Here is a 26,411-nt window from a genome sequence, read left to right as displayed (position 1 = left end):
CATAGCTCACTGCAGCCTCAAACTCATGAGTTCAAGTATTTCTCCCATCTCAGCTTCTTGAGTAGCTGGGACTACTAGGTCCCAGATATGATGAAATGTCATCATATCTGACTAATTTTTCTTTATTTTTTACTTTTTGTAGAGATGAAGGTCTACTTATGTTGCTCAGGCTCATCTTGAAATTCTGGCTTCAAATGATCCTCCTGCCTTGACCTCCCAAAGAGCTGGGATTACAGGTGTTAGACACCATGCCCAGCCCCTTTGTTTCTTAAGACACAATTTCTTTTAGTTTTTAAACATATGTTAAAATAGCATTTAAATTCTTAGCCTCCTAACATCTGTGCTTCCTCAGGAATTATTTACTTTTTTTTTTCTCTTAACTTTTTTTCCCTTATGTATGGGCTGTATTTTCTTGTTTTTGTATTTGCATGTTTCATAATTTTCTGTTGAAAATTGTACATTTAAAATAATACAATATGAACACTCTCTAAGTCAGATTATTTTCTCTACTCAGGGTTTGGTGACAATGGTGGTGGTTGTTGTTGCTGTTGCTGTTTGATTGTTTAGTGACTTTCTAAACTAATTGCACAAAATCTAAATTTTTTGTAATATGTAACCACTAAATACTCTGTTTAATTTACCTAGTGGTCAGGTAGTTATTGAACAGTAATTTCTTTAAATTGCTGGAACCAATTATTCTCTCAATCTTTGTTGAGAGGTTCTGTGTAGATTAAAAACCCTACCTTAGTCTTTGCTTCCTCCTTGAACAGAGGCATTGAGAGGTGAGAGCTTAGGAATTTCTGAGGTCTTTTCTAAGCCTGTGCACAACCATGGCTGTCCACACAGTCCCATTAATGTGCATGGGCTTCTAGAGTGCTAGCACTATGTTGGCTCTTTCTTCTATGAACACCTCATTTTTTAGTTTTCCTTTTAAGCTTTTTGCCAGCTTTGTTTTTTGTTCCAACTCTTATATCCACCTCAGGCAATCGTGTTGTTAAAGAATTGCTGTTGATTGTTTTTAACAAATGCTCCCAGGGAAAATGATGTTTGTACTGGGTAAAGTCTGGGTTAGGTCAAATAAAGATAAATTCTTGAAGTGGGTTTTTGGAGGGAACTACTAAACATCACAAATAATAATAGTTCTCTGGGAATGGAACTATTTGGAGGGAACTACTAAACATCACAAATAATAATAGTTCTCTGGAAATAAAGCAAGGATCCTCACCTTTACTATAAATATTTGGCATTATATTAAAGTACCTATCTGATGTATAATGCAAAAACAATATTATGAACATTTTCTTTATTATATATATGCAGAGAGATAAATAGAAATGGATTTTTATTATTTATGCAATAGTTATGTTCTATAAAGTCATTATAAACACTTAATCAGCAAATACTGAACAATTGCTTTTAGGAGAAATATAAGGCTAGGTTCCTGAGAGCCTCTGCCCATGTTAGTTTTATGACTGATCAGTATATAACATAGTCTTGTGTGTATTTCCATTTAAAGACACCCTATTAATAGTAATATTTACCACTGGTTTATTACATGGAACCCAGATCCAACAGCACTATAACTGGTGCCAGAAGAAAGCTTATCTAACAATGGATTTTCTTCCTAAGGCACATCACAGCCTTCCTCTACTGAGGAGTGCCAGATAGCACTTCAGCACTAGGCTTGGAGCCCATTTTAAGCAATCACATCACCAATGAAAAGCATAAAAATGCAAAAAATGTGGCACAAATGGACTGCAAAAAGGACACTTATTTATAGTATGTGACCCGAAACAAGAAGATAGAGCTGGGAAAATCGGTGACTCAAATTGTTCACCACTCTGTGTTTGTTTGCAAATGACCACAAAAGTGCCATTAATATTGATTTTAGGGATACAATTAAATTATCTCAAGTAGGTAAATTATCTCAAGTAGGTAAAATATATATAACTGTTGTTTGTTTGTTTGTGACAGAGTTTTGCTTTGTTGTCCAGGTTGGAGTGCGGTGGCACGATCTCAGCTTACTGCAACCTCTGCCTCCCAGGTTCAAGCAATTCTCCTGCCTCAGACTCCTGAGTAGCTGGAATTACAGGCGACCGCCACCATGCCTGGCTGATTTTTTTTGTATTTTAGTAGAGATGGGATTTTACCGTGTTCCCCAGGCTGGTCTCAAACTCCTGAGCTCAGGCAATCTGCCCGTCTCGGCCTTCCAAAGTGCTAGGATTACAGGAATGAGCCACCGCTCCCAGCCACACATATATATTTAAATTAACTATATGAATTAGTAAGTAAAATTAGGAAAGTTTCTAGATACATGGTTGATTTGCAGAAATCAATTGTTTTTTCTAAATAACACTAAATGGTAATTTGAAAATATTTCAGAAACATACGATTTTCTGTGGCATCAATGAAAGATCAAATACCTCTAAAGAAATCTAATAAAAGATGTATAAGTCCTTGTCAGAAAAGTATAAAATATTATTATGGTGATGCATTGAAGCAGTCAATATTTTAGAGTTGAATCTTTGTAATTGATGCATAGGTTTAATTCAATTATGTAGCCAAATTACAAAATTTTAGTAGTTTATTTTTGTGGAAAATGACAAACTTAGAAGTATGTATGAAAATATGAATGGTCAAAAAGAATGAAGATTAAGTTGTAATGCCAACTAAGAAGAATGTTCTTCACAAGATAATCAAGCCTTCTTATTGGAAAACCAAATAACACGTGTTCTCACCTATAAGTGGGAGCTAAGCTGTGGGTACACAAAGGCATGCAGAGTGGCTTAATGGACATTGGAGGTTTAGAAGTGAGGAGGGTGAGAGATTAAAAACTACCTGTTGGGGACAATGTACACTACTCAGGTGATGGGTGCACTAAAAGCCCAGACTTCACTATACAGTTAATCATGCATCCAAAACCACTTACATTCCCAACACTATTGAAATTTTAAAAACTAAAAACAAGTCCAGAGTCTGGTTGTTTAAATACACATCTCGTATGTAATGAAAAAATATATAATAAAAAATATAAAAAATTAAGCCTTCTTGGAAGGCTATAGTAACTATTGAGGATGATGTGATATTAGCAAAAAATTAGAAATTAAACTATTGGAATTGGATAGCAAGTACAAATTCATATTCACGCCCAATTTTGTAAAGATAGCACCACAGAACAGACAAGAAGAGATAATCTTCAATAAATGAACAAAACTGATAGGGCACATTAAAAGTTAAAACTTTGCTTTATTAAATGACAACATTGATAAGGTAAAAATGCAAGCTACAATGTGGGAAAATATACCTGCAGTACATACATTTAACAAAGCATGTGTATCCATAACATATAAATTATTAATGTATACATTAATAATGAGAAAAAAAATTCTTATAAAAAATACATTTATAATGAGAAAATACTTATTTTGTGAATAATAAAAAGACTGTCAACTCACTAAAAACATGAGAAAAAGACTAAGTAGGCAAATCACAAAATAGTAAATCTGAATAGCCAATAAATATTTTTAAAAAGGCATTCATCATAATTAGAAATGATGGTGCCAGGAGTGGTGGCTCACGCCTGTAATCCCAGCACTTTGAGATGCCGAGGTGGGTGGATCACTTGAAGTCAGGAGTTCGAGACCAGCCTGGCCAAAGTCGTGAAACCCCATCTCTACTAAAAATACAAAAATTACCCAGGCGTGGTGGCACACGCCTGTAGTCCTAGCTACAGGAGGCTGAGGCAGGAGAATCACTTGAACCCGGGAGGCTGAGGTTGCAGTGAGCCCAGACTGTGGCACTGCACTCTAGCCTGAGTGGCAGAACGAGACTTTGTCTCAAAAAAAAAAAAAAAAAAGATGAAAAAGTAAATTAAGCCATAATAACATGCCATCACAAACTCACACAATGACTACAATTTAAAAGACTGACAACTGGTAAGGACATGGGACCACCAGAACTATAATATACTTCTGGAGAAAATGCAAACTTGCACAACCATTTTTGGAATCTATCCAAAATTATCTACTAACCTGAATAAATGCTTACTCAATACAATAGCATTTCTAAGCCTAGGTATCTACCCAACAGAAATACATTCATGTCTAGGCCTCAAGAAGGATAAATGATATGCACAGCAATATTTTTTATGAGAGCCCAAAGCTGGAAGCTACTCAAATGTCCATTAACAGTAGCAGGGATTAAAAGAAAAAGTGTCTTACTCACCAATGGTGTCATATACTACAGACAAAATGTGCTGCAGCTACGAGCAATGCTGTGGATGAATTTTGCAAACATTGTAGTGAGTGAAAGAAACTAGACCTTAGAGAGTGCATGTTGTAACACTTCATTCACATACAGTTGAAAATCAGGCAAAAGTATTCTACTCTGTTAGAAGTCAGGTCATGGTTTTCTTTTTTTGGAAAACGGAAGGCAGCGATTGAGAAGGGCAGGAGGAGAGCTTCTCTGATATTGGGGAATTTTGTTTCTTAAACTTGGTAGTGAATATATGTGTGTGTTATCTCTTAGAGACTCATTGGCCTATATTCTTAAAATTTTAGCATTTTGAGTGTGTTTTATTTGAACAATTATTTTTAATCACCTCACACAATTTAATGGGCATGTTTGTAGGACCAAGTTCTGCACATGAGACAGAGGTAGGTGCTATGATTGCAAAAATGAGTAAAACAAAACATCTTTCCTTAAAAAGCTTAGAGCCTGCTGGGCACAGTGGCTCATGCCTGTAATCCCAGCACTTTGGGAGGCCGAGGCGGGCAGATTACCTGAGGTCAGGAGTTTGAGACCAGCCTGGGCAACATGGTGAAACGCCGTCTCTAATAAAAGTACTACAAAATTAGGGGGGCATGGTGGTTGGCGCCTGTAGTCCCAACTGCTGGAGAGGCTGAGACAGGAGAATCGCTTGAACCCAGAGGCAGAGATTGCTGTGAGCTGAGATCATGACACTGCACTTCAGCTTGGGTGACAGAGCAAGCCTCCGTCTAAAAAAAAAAAAAAAAGCTTAGAGCCTGCATACTAGAGCAGAAAACTTGCTGCTTTATTCAGTTCCATAATTTTATTTTCCTTCAAAAGCAGATATTTGGTTACATACAGAACTCAACATAAAAGCTCAAGAAAAATTACTTACCTGACATAGCTCTTAGTAGCCTGTTGTCACTCAGTTAGGGGGTGATTGGAAGTGAAATAAATTTGGTGGCATTAAATGTACACCTTTGTAGAAGTATTTGTATCAGAGAAACCAAGTATATTCTCAAATGATTACAATTTTTAATCTCCAGTATTACAGAGGATAAAATCAATAAGGAATGGAAAACTCTCTCTTTCCATTTAATCATTAGTTAGTTATATCAAAGCTTCTATCCACGTTTGTAATTGAAGGATGATGACACTTCCTTATCCTCACAACTTAGCTTGAGCTTTTCCATGCTAGAAATGAAAAGAGTGGTTTGCCTTGTAACATAATCTTCACTGCCTTAAAAATAAAACCATCACTAAGAAAAAATATGTTTATGTTTCACTCTGAAACAGTTATTAAGGGAGTTGAAAATGTATATTCTGTTACTCTCAACTTACACAATAGTGACTAAGACATGGACCGTGGGCTTAAATGCCTGGGTCTGTATCCTGGCATTTTCACTTACTAACTACTTTGCCTTTAGCCGGTTACTTATCTTCTCTCTGTCTTAGTTTCCTCATTATCAAAATAGTGATAACAATAGTAGCTATCTCCCCAGATTGCTGTGGGGATTAAAGGCCTTGGTACATGTAAAGTACTTAGAAAAAAATCAAATAAAGCTATGATTATTATATTTTATATGATATTACTTAATGGCTAGAAAGAAGCCATCATCTAGCAAAATAATTGTCTCATTCACACTCAGTATCATTAAGTAACCTCGGAAGGAAAACCATGACACAGGAAGATGTCTCCCATATTTATTGTAAAATGGCTAGCCACAAAGACATCTTAATTCTCAACATTTTATAAATGAAGAAAACAACTAAATATCCACAAATAAGTTTATTATTCTGACATAAATGAATTACTTGAAAGGGTAAAGCAAATGAAAAGAGTCCCAAATTATTTCCATGTAGTAGGTGTGATACTGTGAATTGATGTATGAGGTGGTATATGGGTCTTTGCTTTCTTAGTAAAGCAATGTCAAGTAGTAATTTATACTGAAGAAGAACCACAACATAGAGTCAATAAGTCAATGCTATGTTTTTGTTCTAGATAGAATTGTGGTTTCATAAATCAGCACCATTGTGATATTTATTTATTTTTTGAGACAGAATCTCATTCTGTCACCCAGGCTGGAGTGCCATGGCATGATCTCGGCTCAGGGCAATCTCTGCCTCCCGAGTTCAAGTGATTCTCCTGCCTCAGCCTCCCAAGTAGCTGGGATTACAGGCGTGCACCACCACATCCAGCTAATTTTTGTATTTTTAGTAGAGTTGGGGTTTCATCATCTTGGCCAGACTAGTCTCAAACTCTAGCCCGTTTTGACCCCCCAAAGTGCTGCCTGCCCAGCTTATTGTGATATTTATAGGTGTATATATATTTATTTAAAGTGTGTTAATATTTGTGTTACATATTTAGATATGGAGCTTGGGTAGGTGTTATGAGGTTTCCATTGGAATGTGAAAGAACATATAAATACTTGAATAATTGTTTTCTTGTTTTATTTTTGACCAGGATCAATTATAAGGACTATTGAAGTGAATATTTTCAAAAGATATTAAGTTTATTACATTTTACAAGCATATTTAGAATGTAATCCTTTCCTTAGTTTAAATGAAACGAGCCCCAGCCTGATTCAATAACCTGGCAGAGGTCATATAGCTTGCCAGAGATGGAGCTGAGACTCATATTTTCACCACCTGTTTGTAAGTCTTGGATTCCTTCCCTTTCACTCTGCTAAAAGTCAGAAAGAATAGAACTACTGAAAAATGGTGTATAGTGGAATTAGATGACTACTAAGGTCTTTCATTCCTGGGCGTCTAGGAAATTCAGTAGACAATTAGCAATAATAGTTTCTGATTTTATCAGAAGGAAGATACCCTGAAGTCAGCATCCAAGCATATATTTAACCTTGATCTATTAAATTCAAAATATATCAGTAGCACCTGGAAGCAATCCAAAGATGACTGAGTAAAGGTTTTTTTCTCAGAGATTTGCAATGATATAGCTAGCCGATGCCCTTCTTTCCAGGTGCAATGATTTTTGCCACATTCTGAGTTGCTAAGCCCTTTTCTTCTAGCCCTCTTCTCTTTCCCTTCAACCCCTCTCTTATACTGCAGTTATTTTTCTCTCCAATTACACTGCATTCTCATGAAGCTTGCTTTCTTCTGTTTGGAATGAAAAAAATAAAAGCCAGAGTCGGCTTGCTTTCATGATTGGCTGCTAAGGTAGTGAAATAAAATGAATGCCCAAGGGAATTGTATATTATTGTATATTTGGTTGCACATACAGAATAATTCCTTCAGATATTTTAAAAAGGAGAGCATTTAAAATGTACTGTTAGAAAACCATTACTTCTTTCTGGTCTTTTAAATTTTTCCTGGGTTTTTTTCCCTAAACACCTAGAAGCTTTTCCATATTTCCTCTTAGAAGATCTTGAAAAATTAAAGTACTTTAAATCTGCTGTTTCTTCCTTAAACCTTTTAAATTTTTTTTCATATTGATATATGGTTAATATATGTGTTTTTATCCTCCCCACCAGGAGCCTTATGTATGTGGTTGAAACCACCTGTACTACTGGAATGAAAGCACCTTTACAGAAGAGGCAATGCAAGTTGTATTCATCACATGTGTAGAATGAATTAAGATTTATGCCAGTTGCAAAGAAGAATATTGGCTCACTATTTTTCCTCTGGGCATGTGAGTATTTTATATTATATAAATTATACATATATATATATAAATATATAAAATATAATTCCTTACCATCTGAGAGGGTAAGGAAGAACAGTGAGGAGGATGATGGAAATCAAATAAGCTCCTTTGGCCTCTCTATGCCTTCCTGTGTTCAGACCTCTAGGGTTCTCTTCTATACATCCAAGAGAAAGTGTTTTCTCTAATGCAGACTGCCTGGTGTATGGTCAGAAGTAAAAATCCTCTGAAGGAGGCACTGTAGTTGTTTGCAGGATATTATTATATATGTATGTTATATTATTCTAGAGTCTCCCTCTAACTGTCTGAGGTTAAAACTTGAAATAACCACTTTGATTTGAGGTATTCTTATCTGCTGAATGGAGTGAATATTACTATTTCTTTGCTTATAGGCTTATTGTGAGAATTAATATGAAGTAGAATGAGAAAACTTGCACATGAATAAAGAATACACAGATTTAGAGGGTTATCAACACTATTTCTGTAATGATATATTCTGAATCCCCTCATCTCAGATTTATAATAACCTTAGTTCTTCATATGTCCCCAAAAGGGGTATGGCAGATATTTCCAAGTTTTAAATTGAAGTGATTCACTAAAATTTTTAATTATTAATAATAATAATCATATACTGTTCATCTCTCCCTCTCTTTAAGTGCTTATCACAGCACCTGGCACATAGTAGGCACTGAACATATATTGGTTAAATTTAATCAAAAAATGTCGAATAGCAAAAGTGATTTCAATATGGAGTGAAAGACCACTAGAACAGAAAACAGAATCAATTACTAGTTGTGATGTATTTTCAGGTCAAATTTGAAACATTTGAAAACAATTTTGACTCCCCATAAAAATAGAATTGTGATCAGTTATTTCCTAGGCAAACTACACTTCAAAAAAGTCCAAAACTGTTGTTAAGGTACATGAAACAATCCTCTCTGCATTGAAAGGCGTCAGACTTCTTTGCTCATTTTGTTTCTTTTTGACCATGTTTTCTGAAGCATGCTTTCTGCTTTCAAGAAAGTAACCACCATTTGTCATTATGGAAATTCTGTCTTTCCCTTATAATTCTCTCTAATATCCAACTCACTTTTTTTTGTATACTATGTTAAACAGATAATCAAGATGATAAGTTCAGTATGGCTCTTAGAAGGATATACTTTATCTTTGAGGGAGGCCTATGAGGTTCCTTTGGGTACCTGGATTTTGTGACATCCTTTTGCTTGACTGTAAATGTTTAAGGCCCCTATCCTACTCTTAGTCTGACTACCCCTGGAGGTAACATAATAAGTAACCTTGGAATAAATATATTATTATTATATACGATCTGATCAGGTGTGAATTCAGTTCTTGGCCATCTACATATATATTAGATGTGTGTAAAATGAAACAATTACGCTTCTAAATTTGTTGTAGTATTAAAAGCTAAAAATAATATATTTTCTAACAATATTGTAATTTTATGTTTTGTTAGGAGTTTTCATCCAATATTAACTGAAAAGATCAATAGACTATCTCAGCATGTTATGCTGTGCATTTATTTTACTGTTGCCACTGATGCAATAAAATTAAATTACAGTACTTCATCAGCCCATACTATCCTGTACTTAATTTACTTACAGTGTCATTTCCAACAATATCTGATAGATCCTGTGAAAATAACAAAGAAAATTCCCTATCGAGTGAGAGAGGTGGGAGTCAGTGGGAAACAGAAGTAATAAGATGTTGTGCAGTATGAAGGAGAAACACGTGGTCTCAGTTCAGTGTGGTGGCAGGGTGCATGTCTGTTTGAACAACCTTCATCATCCTACTTCATTTTTTGTATTTGATACCCAAAGTCATTGATATCAGCATTCTTGAAATTTCCAATAAAAACATTATTGTCACTATCAATATTAAATTGTAATTCAGATAACGCAGGATGTCTTTGCAAGAGCTTCTCAAAATATAAAGGATATTACCTGCTTTGGAAATTATGTCTGGAACCTAATGTTTTCCCCTTTGTGTGCAGTAATTTATTGGAACAGAACAGTGCAGAATATATTGGTGCAGATTTATTCATTAATTGATTCATGCATCAGACTACTAATTCAACAAATATTCATTTAATGTTTTTCATTTACCTTATGATGTGTTTGGTCTTGGGGATAAAGTCAATCTTGTAGCCAGAAAAGTGGCACTATCGATTATAATACAATAGCAGTAGATAATGAATTTAATAGAGGAAAATGCATTGTTGTCTGCCTAAGAGGGTCAATATTATAAAGTATGTGTTGATTTGCTAAGTTTTTAAGAAAGGATAGGAATATCCCAGGAAGAAAAGTGGGAAAGCATATTCTAGAGAGAGGAAACTGGATGTACAAAAATCATGTAAGTGTGAGAAAAAGAATCACTGGGAACTCTAAGTATTAATACTTGGGTATTGTTGGAGCCTGGCACATAGTAAATGCTCAATAAAATATCACATTGTTGTTTTTGTCATGCACTGCAAGAGGTTGGAAAGCAAGAAAAATGCCTAAGCACGCTCAGTGTCAGCCCTTTTATGAATGTGATTGCTTCCCATATTAAAGGATGACTGAAGTTATTCCTTTTTATTTCATATTAAGACCATGATAAGGTCAAGGTGACTTGAAAAAGCTATTTAATTCAAGTTTAGTTTTTACAAAAAAATACATAGAATTAGATTCATATGCATTCTCCTTCTCCTCTTCTTTCCTCCTCCCACTTTTTCTTTTCAGTATTTGGATACAACCCCCATCTCTGACATTGACCTGATGTATTTAGAAAGAGCTCAGACGTGTTTGTGAAATTCTAAGATAACATGTCAGTTTTCTGTGGGAGTGGTTAGGACAAGGCAGAGAATCTATTTTTTTTGTGGTATAAATTAACAGACTAATTGCCCCAACAAAGGAATCTCCCAAATTGTGAAACAAGAGTACAAAGAGGAAGATGAGAGACAGATATGGCCAATTTTATCATTGGACCTTGAATACACCCTATAGTGGAGGTGAAGTGGAATGGCTAAGGGCTTACTAGCATCCTAGGGTAATGAAGTCAGAGAAACTGAGAAACCTTGAACTTACTATTTTCTGAAGTGCTGGGGAAAGATAAAAGTCCCAATTAAAAGGTAAAAATGATACACAGAAATTAAAGGCGGATTTCATATCTGAAACTGCAAATTCATGGCAATAAAATTCTTCCCTTTCCCTACCTGAGATCATTCTTTTCAAGATGAGTTCATTCTCTTATAGCTCCAAGGCTGATCTCCTAGGATGATAAGGTTCTAGTTGGATTTCCATTGCAGTAGGATCAAGTAGAGGACCTTGGAAAATTAATGTTCCTCTGCTGCTCTGAAGATAAGTACTTGGCTGACCCCAGAAGTGCAAAGCTGACTGTAAAGCTCACCTTCTTTCCATATCCCAATGTTGAAAGAAGGCTGAAATGGTGAATAATTCATCTTGCAGTGATAAGGAAGGTGGCCTTGTTGGTAAGGGCTTTGTGATGCTATCACCGTCCATTCTCTGCATGGAAACCTATCAAGCGGTTTTACTGTGTGTCTATTCCACTTCGGAAGCAAACAAAAGAAACTAATGGAGGTCAAAGTGCGAAGGTTCAACTGGAGTAACTTGGGTCATTTTTTTAAGGTCGGATATTATGTCATTGGGGATATTGATTATATCCCAAATGCAAGGTTCTCTGTGTGGAATTTCTTTATTTCCATCATCTAGCTAGCCAGTTAAACTACCATGATTTATTGTGGACCAGGGAAACCACCATTAATAAGCTTTTCTATACAAGTACATTAGCCTTCAGTGTACCTGAAATTTGTGATTTCAGTTCCCCCAATTTTTTCAATCCCCCTCCTTTCTCTTTCAGGGGTGTATGTGTACCCATCACTAAAAAAACTTTCAGTAATTTATCAGAAACTTATTACAAAAGTGTAGCTAGTCAACAGCATCAACCCTGAGCACAGGCCTTGATTAATGGCAGCATATTTGGATCAAAGGGAGTCAGGGAAGAGGAAGTAAACTCAGGAGAGGACTTTAGTTGTTATCATGATGAATCTAGAATAGCCTGGAAACACAAGAAAGAGGGACCTTTTCAAGAAACATTTATATGTAACAAAAGTTAAAGTCTTCATTTAAACTAAGAAAATAATTATTCTGACACTTAACTTCCTGTATCTATATAGGAACATTATTTGTGTTTCAGAAGCATTTTATAGTGCACGTAAAGCTAACCAATACATTTTGCTACCAATTCATAAGGCTGGCCTTCCTGGCATCATTCATTCATTCGTTTATGCCACAAATATTTATTTTGGGTATAACATGTGCAAAGCACCATGTAGATACCATAGAAATCAATATAAATAAGACATCTTTCCTGTCCATAGGCCAGGGATATAAGCAAGCAGTTGAAACTCAAAAATATTGTGCTGCAATACAAAAATAATTGGGGGAATGCTGTGATATTTAGGGCTGTCTGCATATACCAGGGAAAGTTTTACTAAAACTGTTACATGTAAGTGCATTTTGGTGGTAAAATTTAGATAGAAATGTATAACAAACAAAACAACAACATAATGTTTTCAGACAATGAGGAGGGGTGTATTATAGGTAGTATGTGTATTTCATCCTTGCCTGAGTGTCTAGTATAAGGAAAATAAATGGCCATAGAGTGGGCTAGTTAGGTAGGTTGAATGTCCATGTTAGTGTGTTGTGCACAGAATTTGATTTTATTCTGTAGGTGATGGGAAGCCCTGAGAACAATGATCAGAATTGGGGCCCAGCCACTCACCCCAATCTTTTGATGCAACTCTTGTAGCTCTATGCACAAGCATTTTCGGATCTGGTTGCCTTCCTTTAGCGTTTGTGTTTTTTTTTCCCCTGGGTGTATCTCACATTGTTCAAGCAAGCCATATATATGAAATGTATACCAATTCACTCATTTTATACAATGTATACAAATTCACTCATCCTACCAGTAGGATGGGATGGGACACACGCTGTGATTCTCTGAGTCCATGTCAGAATGTTACGGATATAGAAAGAATGCTAAGTTGGAAATGGGATAGGGTGAGGCACAAACTGGAGAATGGAAATAACAATGAAGTGGAAGGGTGGATTTTCAATTTCAAAGAACATAATTACTGCTAATGATTTTTTTCCTTCCTTGCCTTCCTTCTGAATAAGGGTCTCTCCCCCACTTAATAGGTTTTAATTAAATTTGAGAAACATTGACCAAGATTCACAGAGTATAACATAGCTAAGCCTTTCTGAATCCATCTGGTTCTCTTGAAAAGATTTCTAGTCTACTTCCTGACATATGCCTGCAAGTTTTTCCTACCTACATGTGAGACGGTAAAAGTTCCCTTGTTACCCTGGCAGGGTGTGCGATGGGGGTGTGGCTCGCTTCTTCAGTGCCCCGCTGCTCAAACCTCTAGGGAAGCATACAGATGGGCAGGGAGCCCCACGGCAGTGTCTAGGGGTGAATGTTTACAGCTGAAGCTTCAGTGGGCGTGTGTTACAAGGTGCTCTTTTAGTTTAGCTGTCTATAGGCAGCTTGTGTTAACCAACTCAGTTAGACCCTCTACTTTGTCACAAGGACAGAGGGCTGTCTGTATCCTGGGTTCTTGCCTTGGTGTATCGGAAGAATCAGATCACATCTGGGTTTGGAGAATGAGTGCAAGGTTTTATTGAGTAGAGGTAGCTTCCAGCAGATGGGGAAAGTCAGAAGGGGATGGAATGGGAAGGTTTCCCTTGCAGTCGGGCCACTCAGTGGCCTGGGCTCTCCTTGGGCTGCCCCAGCCAAACTCTGCATAGTTCTGCCGGTCGTTGGCCTGCCACATGCCGGTACTTGTCGGTGTGTTCCTCTCCACGACCAGCCGCTTGTGTATTCCTCGCTGATGTGCTCCACTCGACATCCAGTTGCCTGTGTGTCCACCTGCTCGGGTCTCGGGGGTTTTTATAGGCACAGGACAGGGGCATGGCAGGCCAGGGTGGTCTTGGGAAATGAAACATTTGGTTACAAAGGCAAGAGTGCCTTTCCTCAGCTAGGTCCATAGGCACAGGCCCGAGGGTGGAGCTCTAGCCAGAGACCCACCTTTCTCTACCCAACACTTCCCTTCCCCGCTCCCATATCACAATGGGCTCATTTTTGAACATTTTTATCTTACTTTTATGGTGCATAAGTACCATTCTTCTGGACTTCTTCCAGGCCTTAACTGTCTCCATTATTTTCCTGACGTTCTACCATTACTGTTACTGCCATTCCTGAGTCTCTTTAGTGTTTTACCTATCTTGCAGCTGTGAGACTTTCTATGAAAACCACCAATAATTGATTATTTTAGAGGTATAGGTTTAAATCTTAAGGTATCTAGGAATATCATAATAATTATAAACTTTTAAAAATAGTTTAGAAAACTATTGCTTATGGTTCTTTGACCAGAAGGCTTATATCTGCAGCAAAAAGTTATAGAAAAAAATATTCAAATTGACTTAAATAAGAAAGGGGATTTATGGTATCACATAAGTGGGAAGGCCAGGGATAAAGCTGGCTTCAGAATTTGCTTGATTCAGTAGCTCAAAGGTGCCAAGGAGACAGTTACTTCTGGTCTTTTTGCTTTGTCTTCTCTAATGTTAGGTTACTTTCATAATGGCAGAGTGGCTGTAGCAGTTTCAGACTTCATATCTTCACACCAAACGGACTGGTAGAGGCGCTGATTGGCTTTAGGGCACTGAGCTTTTAGCTAGAGCCATAGATCAAGAGAGTTTTCATGTCTGGGAATCTTTGTCTCTTAGTGAAAGACTTCCAAGTTCTGCCCATCTCCAAGGCCCTTACTTTAAAGGTGTTTATAACAATGATGACCTCTGCCTTTAGGTGATTCACAATGACAGATTCTGGTTCAGAGATACTGATAATTTCCTCTTGTCCCCAGACTGCATCTTCATGAGGAGTTCAGCTGTCCTGTTTGTAGTCGTAGAATGAGGCCCCCACTAAATGGTACAAGATAGCAGTACACGTGACACATGATAATGGTCAAATGAGACTGGCAAAAGTTTATTAGTCACGTAACCCTACAGCCTGGGAGCGGAGGACACACATGCTTTGTCCATGCAGGGCACAGAGGGCATCACAAAGCCCTTACCAACAAGGCCACCTTCTTTATCACTGCAAGATGAATTATTCACCATTTCAGCCTTCTTCCAACATTAGGATATGGAAAGAAGGTGAGCTTTACAGTCAGCTTTGCACTTCTGGGGTCAGCCAAGTACTTATACTTTGCCCATGCAGGGCACATAGGGGCTGCATTTGGGAGCAGAGTGAAACAGAAGGGGGTGTGGGAGGCAGGCTTTGTAGAAACGAGAAAGTGAGCTGCCCCTCATTCCCATGGGAGGATGTGATTGGCTTGATTGACTGATTTTTAGGTCTGGCAGGGAGGTGAAACCCATTAGGTTGAGGACTGGCTGGAATGCAGTGGATCGGATAGATCGGGGAACTAGATGAGTGGGGAGCTTTTCCCAGTGACTGGGGACACATCTGACTAGAGCAGGAGAACTCTCATTTAGGCCTTTGGGACCTTCTAAGGATTGAAGATGTCAAAAATGTTAGATCTTACAATATAAGTGGCTCTCTATTAACAATGATGTTTTCTTTTTCTTTTTCTTTTTTTCTCTGTTTTCAAAATGGCCAACATCACACTAAGCTTAAACCTTTGTTTCTTTCTGAAACTGACAAGAATTCCATTATACTGCTCCTTTTTCCTAGGCGATAGTTGTGCTTGGTATGTACTTCTACTACATAAAAGCTCTGAGTCAAACATTGTTTATGCTATCAAATAGTAAATATTTAAAATATCCCAGACTGGAATATTGAGATTTTCTCTCTCCTACATTTTATATTCTCTGGCTAGCCCATTGAATATTTTGGGGCTAGTAATTTGCAATATTTCATTTTTGATACATGTTTCATTGAGATATTTTGTTGCAAGGAACAGAAATAAACTCTTAGAAGTTTAGGCAGAAAAGAAATTATGAGATATTAAATAGCTCATAGAATCAAAGGGGATTCTGGAGGACCAGCAAGAACTAAAGAAGTCTATACAGGAAAAAACACAGGCACATGATGGTACAAGAATAGTCTTGACCTCAATACTGCTAACCCTTTCCTGGCACCATTATCACCACAGGCCCACTAAAAATGGGGTTTCTGCTCAACTCCCAGCCCTTCTATTGTCACCAGACTTCTGAAGCCATCACCAGTGTAAAAATATTCCGATTGTCTAGCCTTTTATTCTTAGCATATATTAGTCATTATACACGTAAACTGAAGAAACTTCAAGCGTGCAGCTCAATTAATTTGTGCAAATCTAGTCACCTGTGTAAGCAGAATCCATATCAAGCTGTTGAAGATTTCCAGCACACTAGATATCTCCTTCAGTATTTCTTCTTCACTACTATTTTTCTCTTCATTTGTACTGGATTAGTTTTTGTTATACTCATTCTTGAGCTTTATGTAAATAAAATCAGATGTATGTATACATCTTGCTTTTATTAACTATCTGTGAGATATAACCATTTTGTTGTTATATATACCATGCTAGTCATTTTTAATCACTGTATATTATTTCACTGTATTAATATATCACACTATATTTGTTCTTCCACTGATGTTTCTTTAACACACCACCCCTCTTCCCCCACCTCCAGTTTTTTTCCTTTTCTGAATGAAACTGCTATGAATTTTATTGTACCTGTCTTATGCAATACATTTATACTCTGTTCCATGATAAGCAGGTTTGTGCAAACCTACCTCCAAAGACTGAGGGAGTTGAGAAGCTGAAGAAAGAGGCCAAGAAATCCACTTTCACTGGAAAGGTTAGCTAAGCATCTTTGTGAGGGGTAGTCTATACTGCAGGCATGGTTTAAAGACCTTATTCCTGATCACCTTGGTATGTGGGGGTCAAACATCAGTCATCATTGTGGTTTTGCTTCAAGATGGCATCACTCATGCCATGCAACAGACTGTTTTCCCACACCCTCATTTCTGTTGGGGGCATAGCTAGAAGTTGTTCATAAGAGTATGCAGATGTTCAATACTATTCATAAATACCAGTAGTTTTCAAAAATGCTTTACCAATTTGTATTCCTGCCAGTATTGTAGGTGTTCAAGGTGCTCCAAATCCATTTCAAAAAAATAATATTGTTAGATTTTTAAATTATTTTTAAATGTTAGCCATTGTAGTGGGTGTGTAGTAGCATTTCTCCTTGGTTTTGATTTGCATTTCCCTGGTGGGTAATGATGTCTAGCACTTTTTTATAAACTTATTACATTTTAAAATCCTCTTTTATAATTTTTGCTGGTTGCTGGTGTCTTTTGCTCAATCTTATCACCTTGCCTTTTCTTTAATTCATAGAAGTTCTTGATATATATATATATTCTTATTTGGTGGTCTTTGTTTATATCCACGAATATTACAGAATCAACTGGATATCTATATGTGTAAAAATAAATCTGGACCCTTTCCTCACAGAATATACAAAAGTCAATTAAAAATAGGTCATTGGCCTAAGTGTAAAAGACAATACAAAATAATACGGTAATACAGGAAAATATATTTGTGACTTGTAGTAAGCAAATACGTTATTTTAAAATTTACACTATAAAATCTAATACAACTTCAGAAAAAAATGTTAAGTTGAACTTCATTAAATTAAAAAAAACTTCTATTAATCCAGGGGCATCTTTAAGAGATTAAAAGTGCAAGGCACAGAATGAGAGAAGGCATTTTCATTAAACAGATCTGTCAAAAGAGTCATATAGAAAATATATCAAGTGGCCAGACATTGTGGCTCATGCCTGTAATCCCAGCACTTTGGGAGGCCAAGGCAGGTGGATTGCCTGAGGTCAGGAGTTCGAGACTAGCCTGGCCAACATGGTAAAACCCCATATCTACTAAAAACACAAAAATTAGCCAGTTGTGATGGTGCCTGCCTATAATCCCAGCTACTTGGGAGGCTGAGGCAAGAGAATCACCTGAACCTGGGAGGTGACATCCACATTATATTAATCATCATAATGCCTAAAAAACAGATAAAAAACAAAACCACAACTTTTTTTTTTTAGCCCAGCAGAATATTGGGGTGGCAATGCAACCCAATAACCTAAAATTCTAAGAGGAAGAAGTTTCTCCAAGGAGAGCTAGGGCATGTGATCTCTCTCGCCTATGGCAGAGCATGGAGAAAGAGGCTTCTCAAGGCCACAAAACAAACAGATAAGAATATGCCAAAAATTAAAGAACCCCTCACCACCAAAGGCCTATTGTGGGTAGTAAGTAAGAAATTGCCGGGGGCGTCTGACAGGGAAATCTGTACTCACTCACTTGCAAAGTCTTCCCCAGGGGCCTGTACTGGTTGCTCAGGAGCAACTTTGGGGAGAGTTGGAGACTGAGCAAACTGACTGATGGTGCAAGTGCTGATGGCACCACAGGGAGGGGCAGGCATAGGACATCTGTGAGCTTTCTGACCCTTTTCTCCCATGAAGTGAAAGCTGTAGGCCCTTTGGTGAGGGACAGAGAAACTACTTGTCCACAGGGCACAGGCAGTGAAAGTTGTCACTGGTAGGTGGGTAAGAGAAATCTCTCCATTCCACAGGCGGGGGCAAGAAGTTTTCTTGAACTGAGTCTTTTATTGAGAAAGGTGTGCCACTGCTGAGTAAGGGGAGGGGAGAAGGGCTGGACCAGAATGCAAGAACTACCAGATTCAAGGCAGTTGGGCTGCCACAGGGAGGTGAGGCAGGCAGGCTGAGAACATTCCATCCTGAAGCTGATGCACATGGCTTTCTAAAACTGAGGTTGGGTCAGAATGGAGAAACCTCTGGCCAGGTCAATAGCCAGCTGGTATATAGGCCACAGCAGTCACATGGAGCATGTAGATATGCAGTTGCCTGATGGGAGGTGTTTTCACCAAGATTCTCCTGTGCATATTTAGAGATGAAGCATCTAAAAGGGAGATAAACTGCAACACCCTTTCCTTCTCCTTTTTAAAATTTCTTCTCCTTGTGTCTGCAAAATGCCAGCTTCAGTGTCCTTTCTCTCTGAAGTCTTCTACTTTATCTACAGACTGTCTTCCTTTTGCAGTATGGTGGATGGAACTCTCTCGCAGCTTTCTTTGAGCTGTATCTAATATTTGCATCTCAAAAACAGGATTTATATAAAATTCTTCTTTGATGTTTCTACAGTAAATGGCATTGGTGTTATCTGTCATCTATTGATCGATTTATAGTAAATGAGAAAATGTATAGGTATGTAACTTTTGGCAATTTTCTTAAAATTTCCCAGTTTCAGTTTTACAAATGAATAATACTCATAGCCCTGTCTGTAACATTCTAGGTATTAATAGCTCTTATATTTCTGTGGATCTTCATGCCAATATCTGGACTCCTGATTTTATGTCCTCTGATTTTTTCAAGCATTTCTGATAGGCCACTGTGAATCCCGAAAAGTCCTAAAGTAGCTATTGTATTAATCCGAATTCCCCATGTCCTTGGTGACCCATCCACACAGACACATTTTTCCCATTTCTGCTCAACTGCAAATGATATCAATGCAGCCAACTTAGAAGCTAAGAAAGAGAACTCCCACAAGGTGTCAAGGTATGTGTTTTGGGGTAAAGAAATGAGAAAAATGGACAGGTAATTAGACATTAATCTTTCCCAGTTTTTGAAGAAAACATAGATCATTCTTATTTCCTCTTGATGAGGGGACATTGACACACAGACATTTGCTGGAGTATATGCTCTCAAAGAGGTAGTTTAGGATTATAAATGTTCACAATTCCAGACTAGAAAAGGTGCAGGATGATGATGAAGCTAAATCAGGGCTGTTGACCAGTGAGTCACAGGTCCTGAGTAAGGGCTGTTGACCAGTGAGTCACAGGTCCTGCCATGCTGCATTCTTTTTATCAGGTCAGGTCACTCTCTAGTTGGTGTCAAAGTGATAGGTCTGGCCAAGTGCAAATAATGTTGCCTCAAACTGGTTTTGAGAGAGGTCATTAGGGTTTCCCCTTCTTATGTTGCATCTAGATATAATCTAATTTACAGAGAAGCTTCCGAGAAAGTGAAGACCTACTACCTTATTTAATCAGGGATGAGTAGATATTTAGTACTGAGCTGCCTAAGTAAATCCAATGTAGTCAGTGCTTCTCTGGCCAAAGAAAAACAAAACAAGCAAAAACAAAACAAAACACCCATAACAACTCACAAATCCTTTAAAAAACACCTATGCCACTCATTTTTCACATATAACATTGGTAACTAAGCTCAAATTTTGTATTGTGTGAAATATCATATAAAAGATTATATGAAATATTGCATCTGTTCAGCCAGATTTATATTTAAATTTTACAAACTTTAACTGGAAAAGAGAATATGGTGAGCTCTCGAAAAACGTTACATCACAAAATATTTTTTGGGAGATTCTCTATACTTAGAAGTATTGTCCCAGGGATTTCTAATGAGAACAACGGAGTTGTTCTTGGGTATGTGAAGCTGACTGAGTTTAAGACTGGTGCACATGTAGCTGTGGATATATGTATTTATGTGTGTGCATTTGCTTTCCTCCTAGGTTAAAATAGAAATTCTCTGGGAATTTAAACCAATTCTAGTTATAAATTCATAAGGAAAATATGCTCATGCTGCTTTAAAAAAATGTATCTTAGGCCAGGCGCGGTGGCTCATGCCTGTAATTCCAGCACTTTGGGAGGCCGAGGTGGACGGATCATGAGGTCAGGAGATCGAGACCATCCTGGCTAACATGGCGAAACCCCGTCTCTACTAAAAATACAAAAAAATTAGCTGGGTGTGGTGGTGGGTGCCTGTAGTTCCTAGCTACTCGGGAGGCTGAGGCAGGAGAATGGCATGAACCCAGGAGACGGAGTTTGCAGTGAGCTGAGATCGTGCCACTGCATTCTGGCCTGGGGGACAGAGGGAGACTCCATCTCAAAAAAAAAAAAAAAAGTATCGTAATGAAAAATAATCTTCATCAGAAGGTATCTATGGGGCCAAGAGCAGTAGCTCACGCCTGTAATCCCAGCACTTTGGGAGGCTGAGATTGCCAGATTACCTGAGGTCAGGAGTTCGAGACCAGCCTGGCCAACATGGTGAAACCCCATCTCTACTAAAAATACAAAATTAGCTGGGCGTGGTGGTGTGTGCCTATAATCCCAGCTACTTAAGAGGCTGAGGCAGGAGAATCGCTTGGACCCAGGGGGGCGGAGGTTGCAGTGAGCCAAGATCATGCCACTGTACTCCAGGTTGGGGGACAAGAGCAAAACTCCATCTAAAACAAAACAAACAACCAAAAAAGTATCTATGAATCCCATTTCATTCCGCACAATACATACCCTTTACTCTCCTGAGATAGTGGAAATGAGTATAATGAAAACATGCATTAGTTTACAATTATTGCCCTGATAATGCTTTCAAAGCTCAAGTAGCCTTTATTTTCCCACTTTTAGAAATACTAGTTAGCAAAACATTGAGCAAGAAGATTTGAAATGACATTAATGAATATGCTCTGTTTTGTACCACTAGCCTTTCTCTTTGAGATAAAACATCCACATGATTATTCCCTTCAGTTCTGAATTTTAAACTCTGCACCAAACCCTAGAATTCTTAGGAAATTCTCCCCTAAAAGACTTCTGCAGGATTGAATGAGTTTTGTCTTTCATAATCTTAACCTTCCACGATCCTATTCTGTCTTTGTCCTTAACATCTGGCACTGTGATGATCTCTCAGGCTTAAAAAAAAAAAAAAAATGAGCTGGCAATCTACTACTTATTAAATAAATCTAAAATATACTTTCCATGGATGTTTTACAAATAGAATGATTGCAATTCTTCCTCTACCTCCCCCACTTCAAACCAAGGTTTTACATTATTCAGGTCTTCCTTGCATATCAGTATTTTTTATTCTTTTTTTTTTTTGTCTTATGTGTCTGACTTTGAAGATCTATAGCTCCTTTCAACATTCAAGGTCTTTGGGCCTCTTACCTGTTCACAAGGCTATGTTATTGGAATTAATATTAACCATCAAAGCTTGCTGAATTCCATTGACAGTAGTCATCATGTAGTTAGTTTTGTTTAAATGCTTATTGCCCACATTTGTCTTCTGGTTTTCAGTGGCCTTCCATCTGTATGACCAAATAACTTATTTGATTAAAAACCTAGTTGTTCTTCAATGGTAATATTTCATGTCTCTGAAAAAGCAGAACCAGGATCAGTTGTTTACTTTTTTAAAGATCATAGAGGATTGAGCAATGTATTATCATCTGTGATATAACGAAATGTAGAATTAAAAGCAATACATTACTTTCAAAAAAGAATAATTTATTTTTAAAAAAGACAAGAAAGTTGTCAGACTGGTGATATTTCAAAAGATGAGTACAGATTCCCAAGTGGTTGGGGAAGAGGAGATAAGACATTAAGCACTAATTTAATTCTCCACTCGTTCATTTACTCCCTTATTCATTCAATTTAGTTTAAATATTTCCTGAAAACTCATGGTAGAAGACATTTTGCTAAGCACTATGGGAACCACAAATATACAAGGAAGAAGAAAGAAATTAAGAAAAGAAAAGCAGAAGAGAGAAGGGAAAACATGGAATGATAATTAACATTTACTGAGTAGACCATTGCTGCTTTTGTAAGTTTTTGTTTGTTTGTTTGTTTTTTGAGACGGAGTCTCACTCTGTTGCCCAGGCCATCTCAGCTCACTGCAACCTCCGCCTCCCGGGTTCAAGAGATTCTCCTGCCTTAGCCTCCAGAGTAGCTGGGAATACAGGCATACAGGTGCCTGCCACCACGTCCGGCTAATTTTTTTGTATTTTTAGTAGAGACAGGGTTTCACCATGTTGGCCAGGCTTGTCTCGAACTCCTGACCTCAGGTGATCTACTCGCCTCGGCCTCCCAAAGTGCTAGGATTACAGGCATGAGCCACCACGCCCGGAGTATTTTTAATAAGCTACTTTGTGCCAGATGTGTTTGTCCTTTGAAGTCATTAGGCCATTTAATAAAAATACACCCAATACATTGGGTAAGAAGATGAAATTGAGTGCCATAGCAGTTACATGACTAGGATGTGATAGGACAAGGATTATAACCCTGGATTTTTAGTCTGAAGTCCATGTGCCTGCAGGCTACCGCCTATTCTTCCTCCTACCCATGTCAAACAAATAAACAATAAACAGACACTTACACCTTCTTCGCACAAGACATTTGAGATTTATTCCTTTAAGCTGGTTTTGCTACTCACAGTTGCAGGCAGCCTGAGGACACTAGAAGTTCTATGAGTTGTAGTCAGAGAGGACAAGGGTTGCTAGGAAAGTAAAACAGGAGGAGCAAAAATAAATTTTGTCAGATCTCCAATTCTGACCAGACTTAGTTATAAATGCCCTCTTCTCATACCTTTTTCTCTCTACCTTTGGCTCTCCCTGAAACTGTAGTTGGTGAGTCATCTCCTTTCCATCCCACCTATGTACTGAACGTTATTGAATATCCAGTATGTGCCAGAAATGGTGCATGTGCATTCCGGCAGGAGATTTTACATTAGATGAATGCTCAGGTAATTCTAGTGTCAGAGGAAGCATTCAGGTTGCAGGCTCAGAATTAATACAGGAGTGCATTGGGAAGAAGGACTAAAAGTAGAGACAGTGAAGACCCAGCTTCCTAACCTGCTTTTGGGGCAATGTCACTAAAATGTGAACTTGACTCACTGGTAGGAAAAATATTTTCAAAGAAAAAGCAGGAGCATGGTTCTTTTCGTTTTGCCTTGTGATTGTATTTCTTCATGTATGTGTACCTGGGTTAGAGACATTGAAATTGCTTTACAAGAGGAAGGAGAGAGAAGGCCTTTGTCCCTGAAAGAATCACTTAACTCAAGCTTGAGTGACCACAAAAAAGGCCAGGTAAAGTCAGTGGCAAAAGGTGATTCTCCAATAAGGGCTGTTTGGAGAATTGTGTCTCCTTTCTGTTTCTGTACTTCCCCGTTCTCCTTTTTCTGAACTTTCCCAGATCTGTCTTTCTCTTCATTTCTATCATTTTATTTCTTTTGCTTTCTATATCCTAACTAGTTTTTACAGACTGAATTGCCTATCAGTTCAAAGAGAGTAAACTTTAAAAAAATGATTTACCAGGACAATCACTGTTCTTAACCAGAGCATGTTTACTGATACAGTGTGTATGCATGTGTATGCACACATATATCACATTTATAGGGTCACGTGACAGCACAGGACCTAGACAGAGCCCGATATCAACCTTTTTCTCTAATTAAATTGATTGAGCATTTTGCTTTCAAATAAGTCCCTTCTCATCTTAATGCCTGTGTTCATTTTGATCCTTCATTCTACACAGCCCTCATATATACTTAACTCCATTGATAAAATGCCTAGCCATCCTCAGAGGCCTAGCTCAGAGACCAGTAAATATTTATTGAAAGGATTTGTTGAATGAATACAGTGCTGTCCTCTGAGATGAGCTCTCATTTCCCTTCTCTATATGCTTAAAGATTTCACAATAAACAGAGAAACTTTATGGAAAGGAGTAAAGAAGAATAGTTCCCAAATCTTCTAGTGATGGGGCTGCAACATCTGTCACTCATTCACTTATTTATCACACAATTTATAACTTCACCTGGCTATGCCATTCTTTCTCTTTTAAGAATGGCTGCTCATTCTATTCCCCAGTCACTGTAAGCCCAGAAGGAGTATCTGCCTATTACAAAAGATATTGGACATTCATAAATATTATCGGCATTTGGAAATAATCTTCAGAGCTAGATGACAGAAGAAGTCGAGAAAAGGAAGAAATAAAAGAGCCACAGTCATTGGGGTGAGATCCTAGGAAATATAGGAAGACAGTGCTAAATCTGGGAACATCTTGGATTGAGGTAGAGAATAGATGGTATCTCTTCTTTCTGTAAGAATTTCTTGGTAATAACTTTGGACAAAAGATATATAGAACTGGATCAGTGAAATGGATGAGACTAATTCTGTATCTCTGATGATGAATTTAGTTTTTGTCTTTGCCCTCTTTTGCTTTCAGTCTTATTTAGACAGGAAGCCCACGAACCGAAACAGGCATCACCCACCCACCGTACAGAGCTGGATGTACTGTCACTGCTATATAAATTGACTTCTTCTTCAGGATAATAACAGTATAGATCATTCCTCTCTTCTGGGATGGCAAATCTCATGTTCATTTATAATACTTTGGACATCCAATTCAGTTTGCATCTTCATATTTAAACACCTTTGCAGTTGTAATAATACTAATAAACAACTAAGGAAGGTTGGCATATTTCACATTTGAGACATGGATCTCAAAAATCCCAGGTGGGACTTTCTCTCCTGGTTCTTTACTATGTAGTGCAAGTATCATCAGGATGATTTGCGGGATGCTTATTCCTTACTTTTACTAATTAGTGGAATTTTGTCTTTGTTTTCAAAGGGAGTCTTTCTATTCCCCAAGTTAAATTGTCAGATTCATTGTTTGTTCTGTCATATATTTATGCATGTATATTAAGATAATTACTAGAGAAGTTTCTTAAGTTTTGATATTTTATATATATTTGAAACCCTCATACTGACTCCAAATGGTCTGATCATTTGAATTAGATTACAGATTACCCCAAGAAAGATAGTTTTCTTACATCATTCTGTATGAAAATATTTTTGTATATAATAATTGCTCTATATTTTTTCTTTATCCAAGTAATGGCTAACACTTTTCTGAACTACGACCAACATTTTAAATCATGGAAAATTCTTAGCATATCTCTTTGTATTTATGAAGTTGAAACAATCAGTTTGAAGTAAAAAGGCCTATGAACAATGATTTGATATCAAATAGGGAAAAGCAACTTCTCATGCTATTTTACTGAATTGGAATCATGGTTTCAGTAATACATGGTGTTTGTATATAAATATCCTGAAGTTCTCAGCTGGAAAACAAGTCACAAACTATTCTCTGTAAAACATCAGGCTACCTAGGGACCATTTTGTAGGTGTATACATCACCCAAAATATCAGTTTTTAGAAGGAAAAGGAAACGTTACTCTGAATTGTATATGCCAACATATGTGTGAAACTGATATGACTTTTTTTATTTCTTGCTTTGCTAAATAAGTTGTATGCTTAAAGCATCCATATATATTTACTATTAAAGCGTCTTAAATAGGTTCAGGATATTCCAAAATGATTATGCAGTTTTTCCCTATTGCTAGCACTAAGAGACAGCATGGATCAGGGAAACAAAGGTAAAAGTATTCTTTCTCACTCTCATTAGAAAAGATGAGATGATTTGAGGCACATCAGAGAAATTGCTGGATATATCAGTAAAGAGATAAAATGTAGAGTGTTTTGACTATAAAATAGGAACCTGGCTTTGGTTTCAAAATTTCCCAGTCTGAACTCTGCTGGGTGACAAACAATATCTAACTCTTA

At 37.5% G+C, this 26,411-nt stretch overlaps 1 long non-coding RNA gene across 1 annotated transcript in view; it reads left to right on the top strand.

Moving 5' to 3' along the window:
• MIR924HG (MIR924 host gene) overlaps positions 1-26,411 on the top strand; it is a 545,072-nt gene that overhangs the window by 208,641 nt on the left and 310,020 nt on the right. The window contains exon 3 of the long non-coding RNA NR_024391.1: positions 7,740-7,897. This is a non-coding gene — a long non-coding RNA (MIR924 host gene). The remainder of the gene's footprint in view (positions 1-7,739; positions 7,898-26,411) is intronic.

Source organism: Homo sapiens, chromosome 18, assembly GCF_000001405.40.
Source record: "Homo sapiens chromosome 18, GRCh38.p14 Primary Assembly".
Classification (NCBI taxonomy): Eukaryota; Metazoa; Chordata; class Mammalia; order Primates; family Hominidae; genus Homo; species Homo sapiens.
The sequence above is the reverse complement of the archived record's forward strand: the minus strand, read 5'-3'. Positions and strand labels throughout refer to the sequence as shown.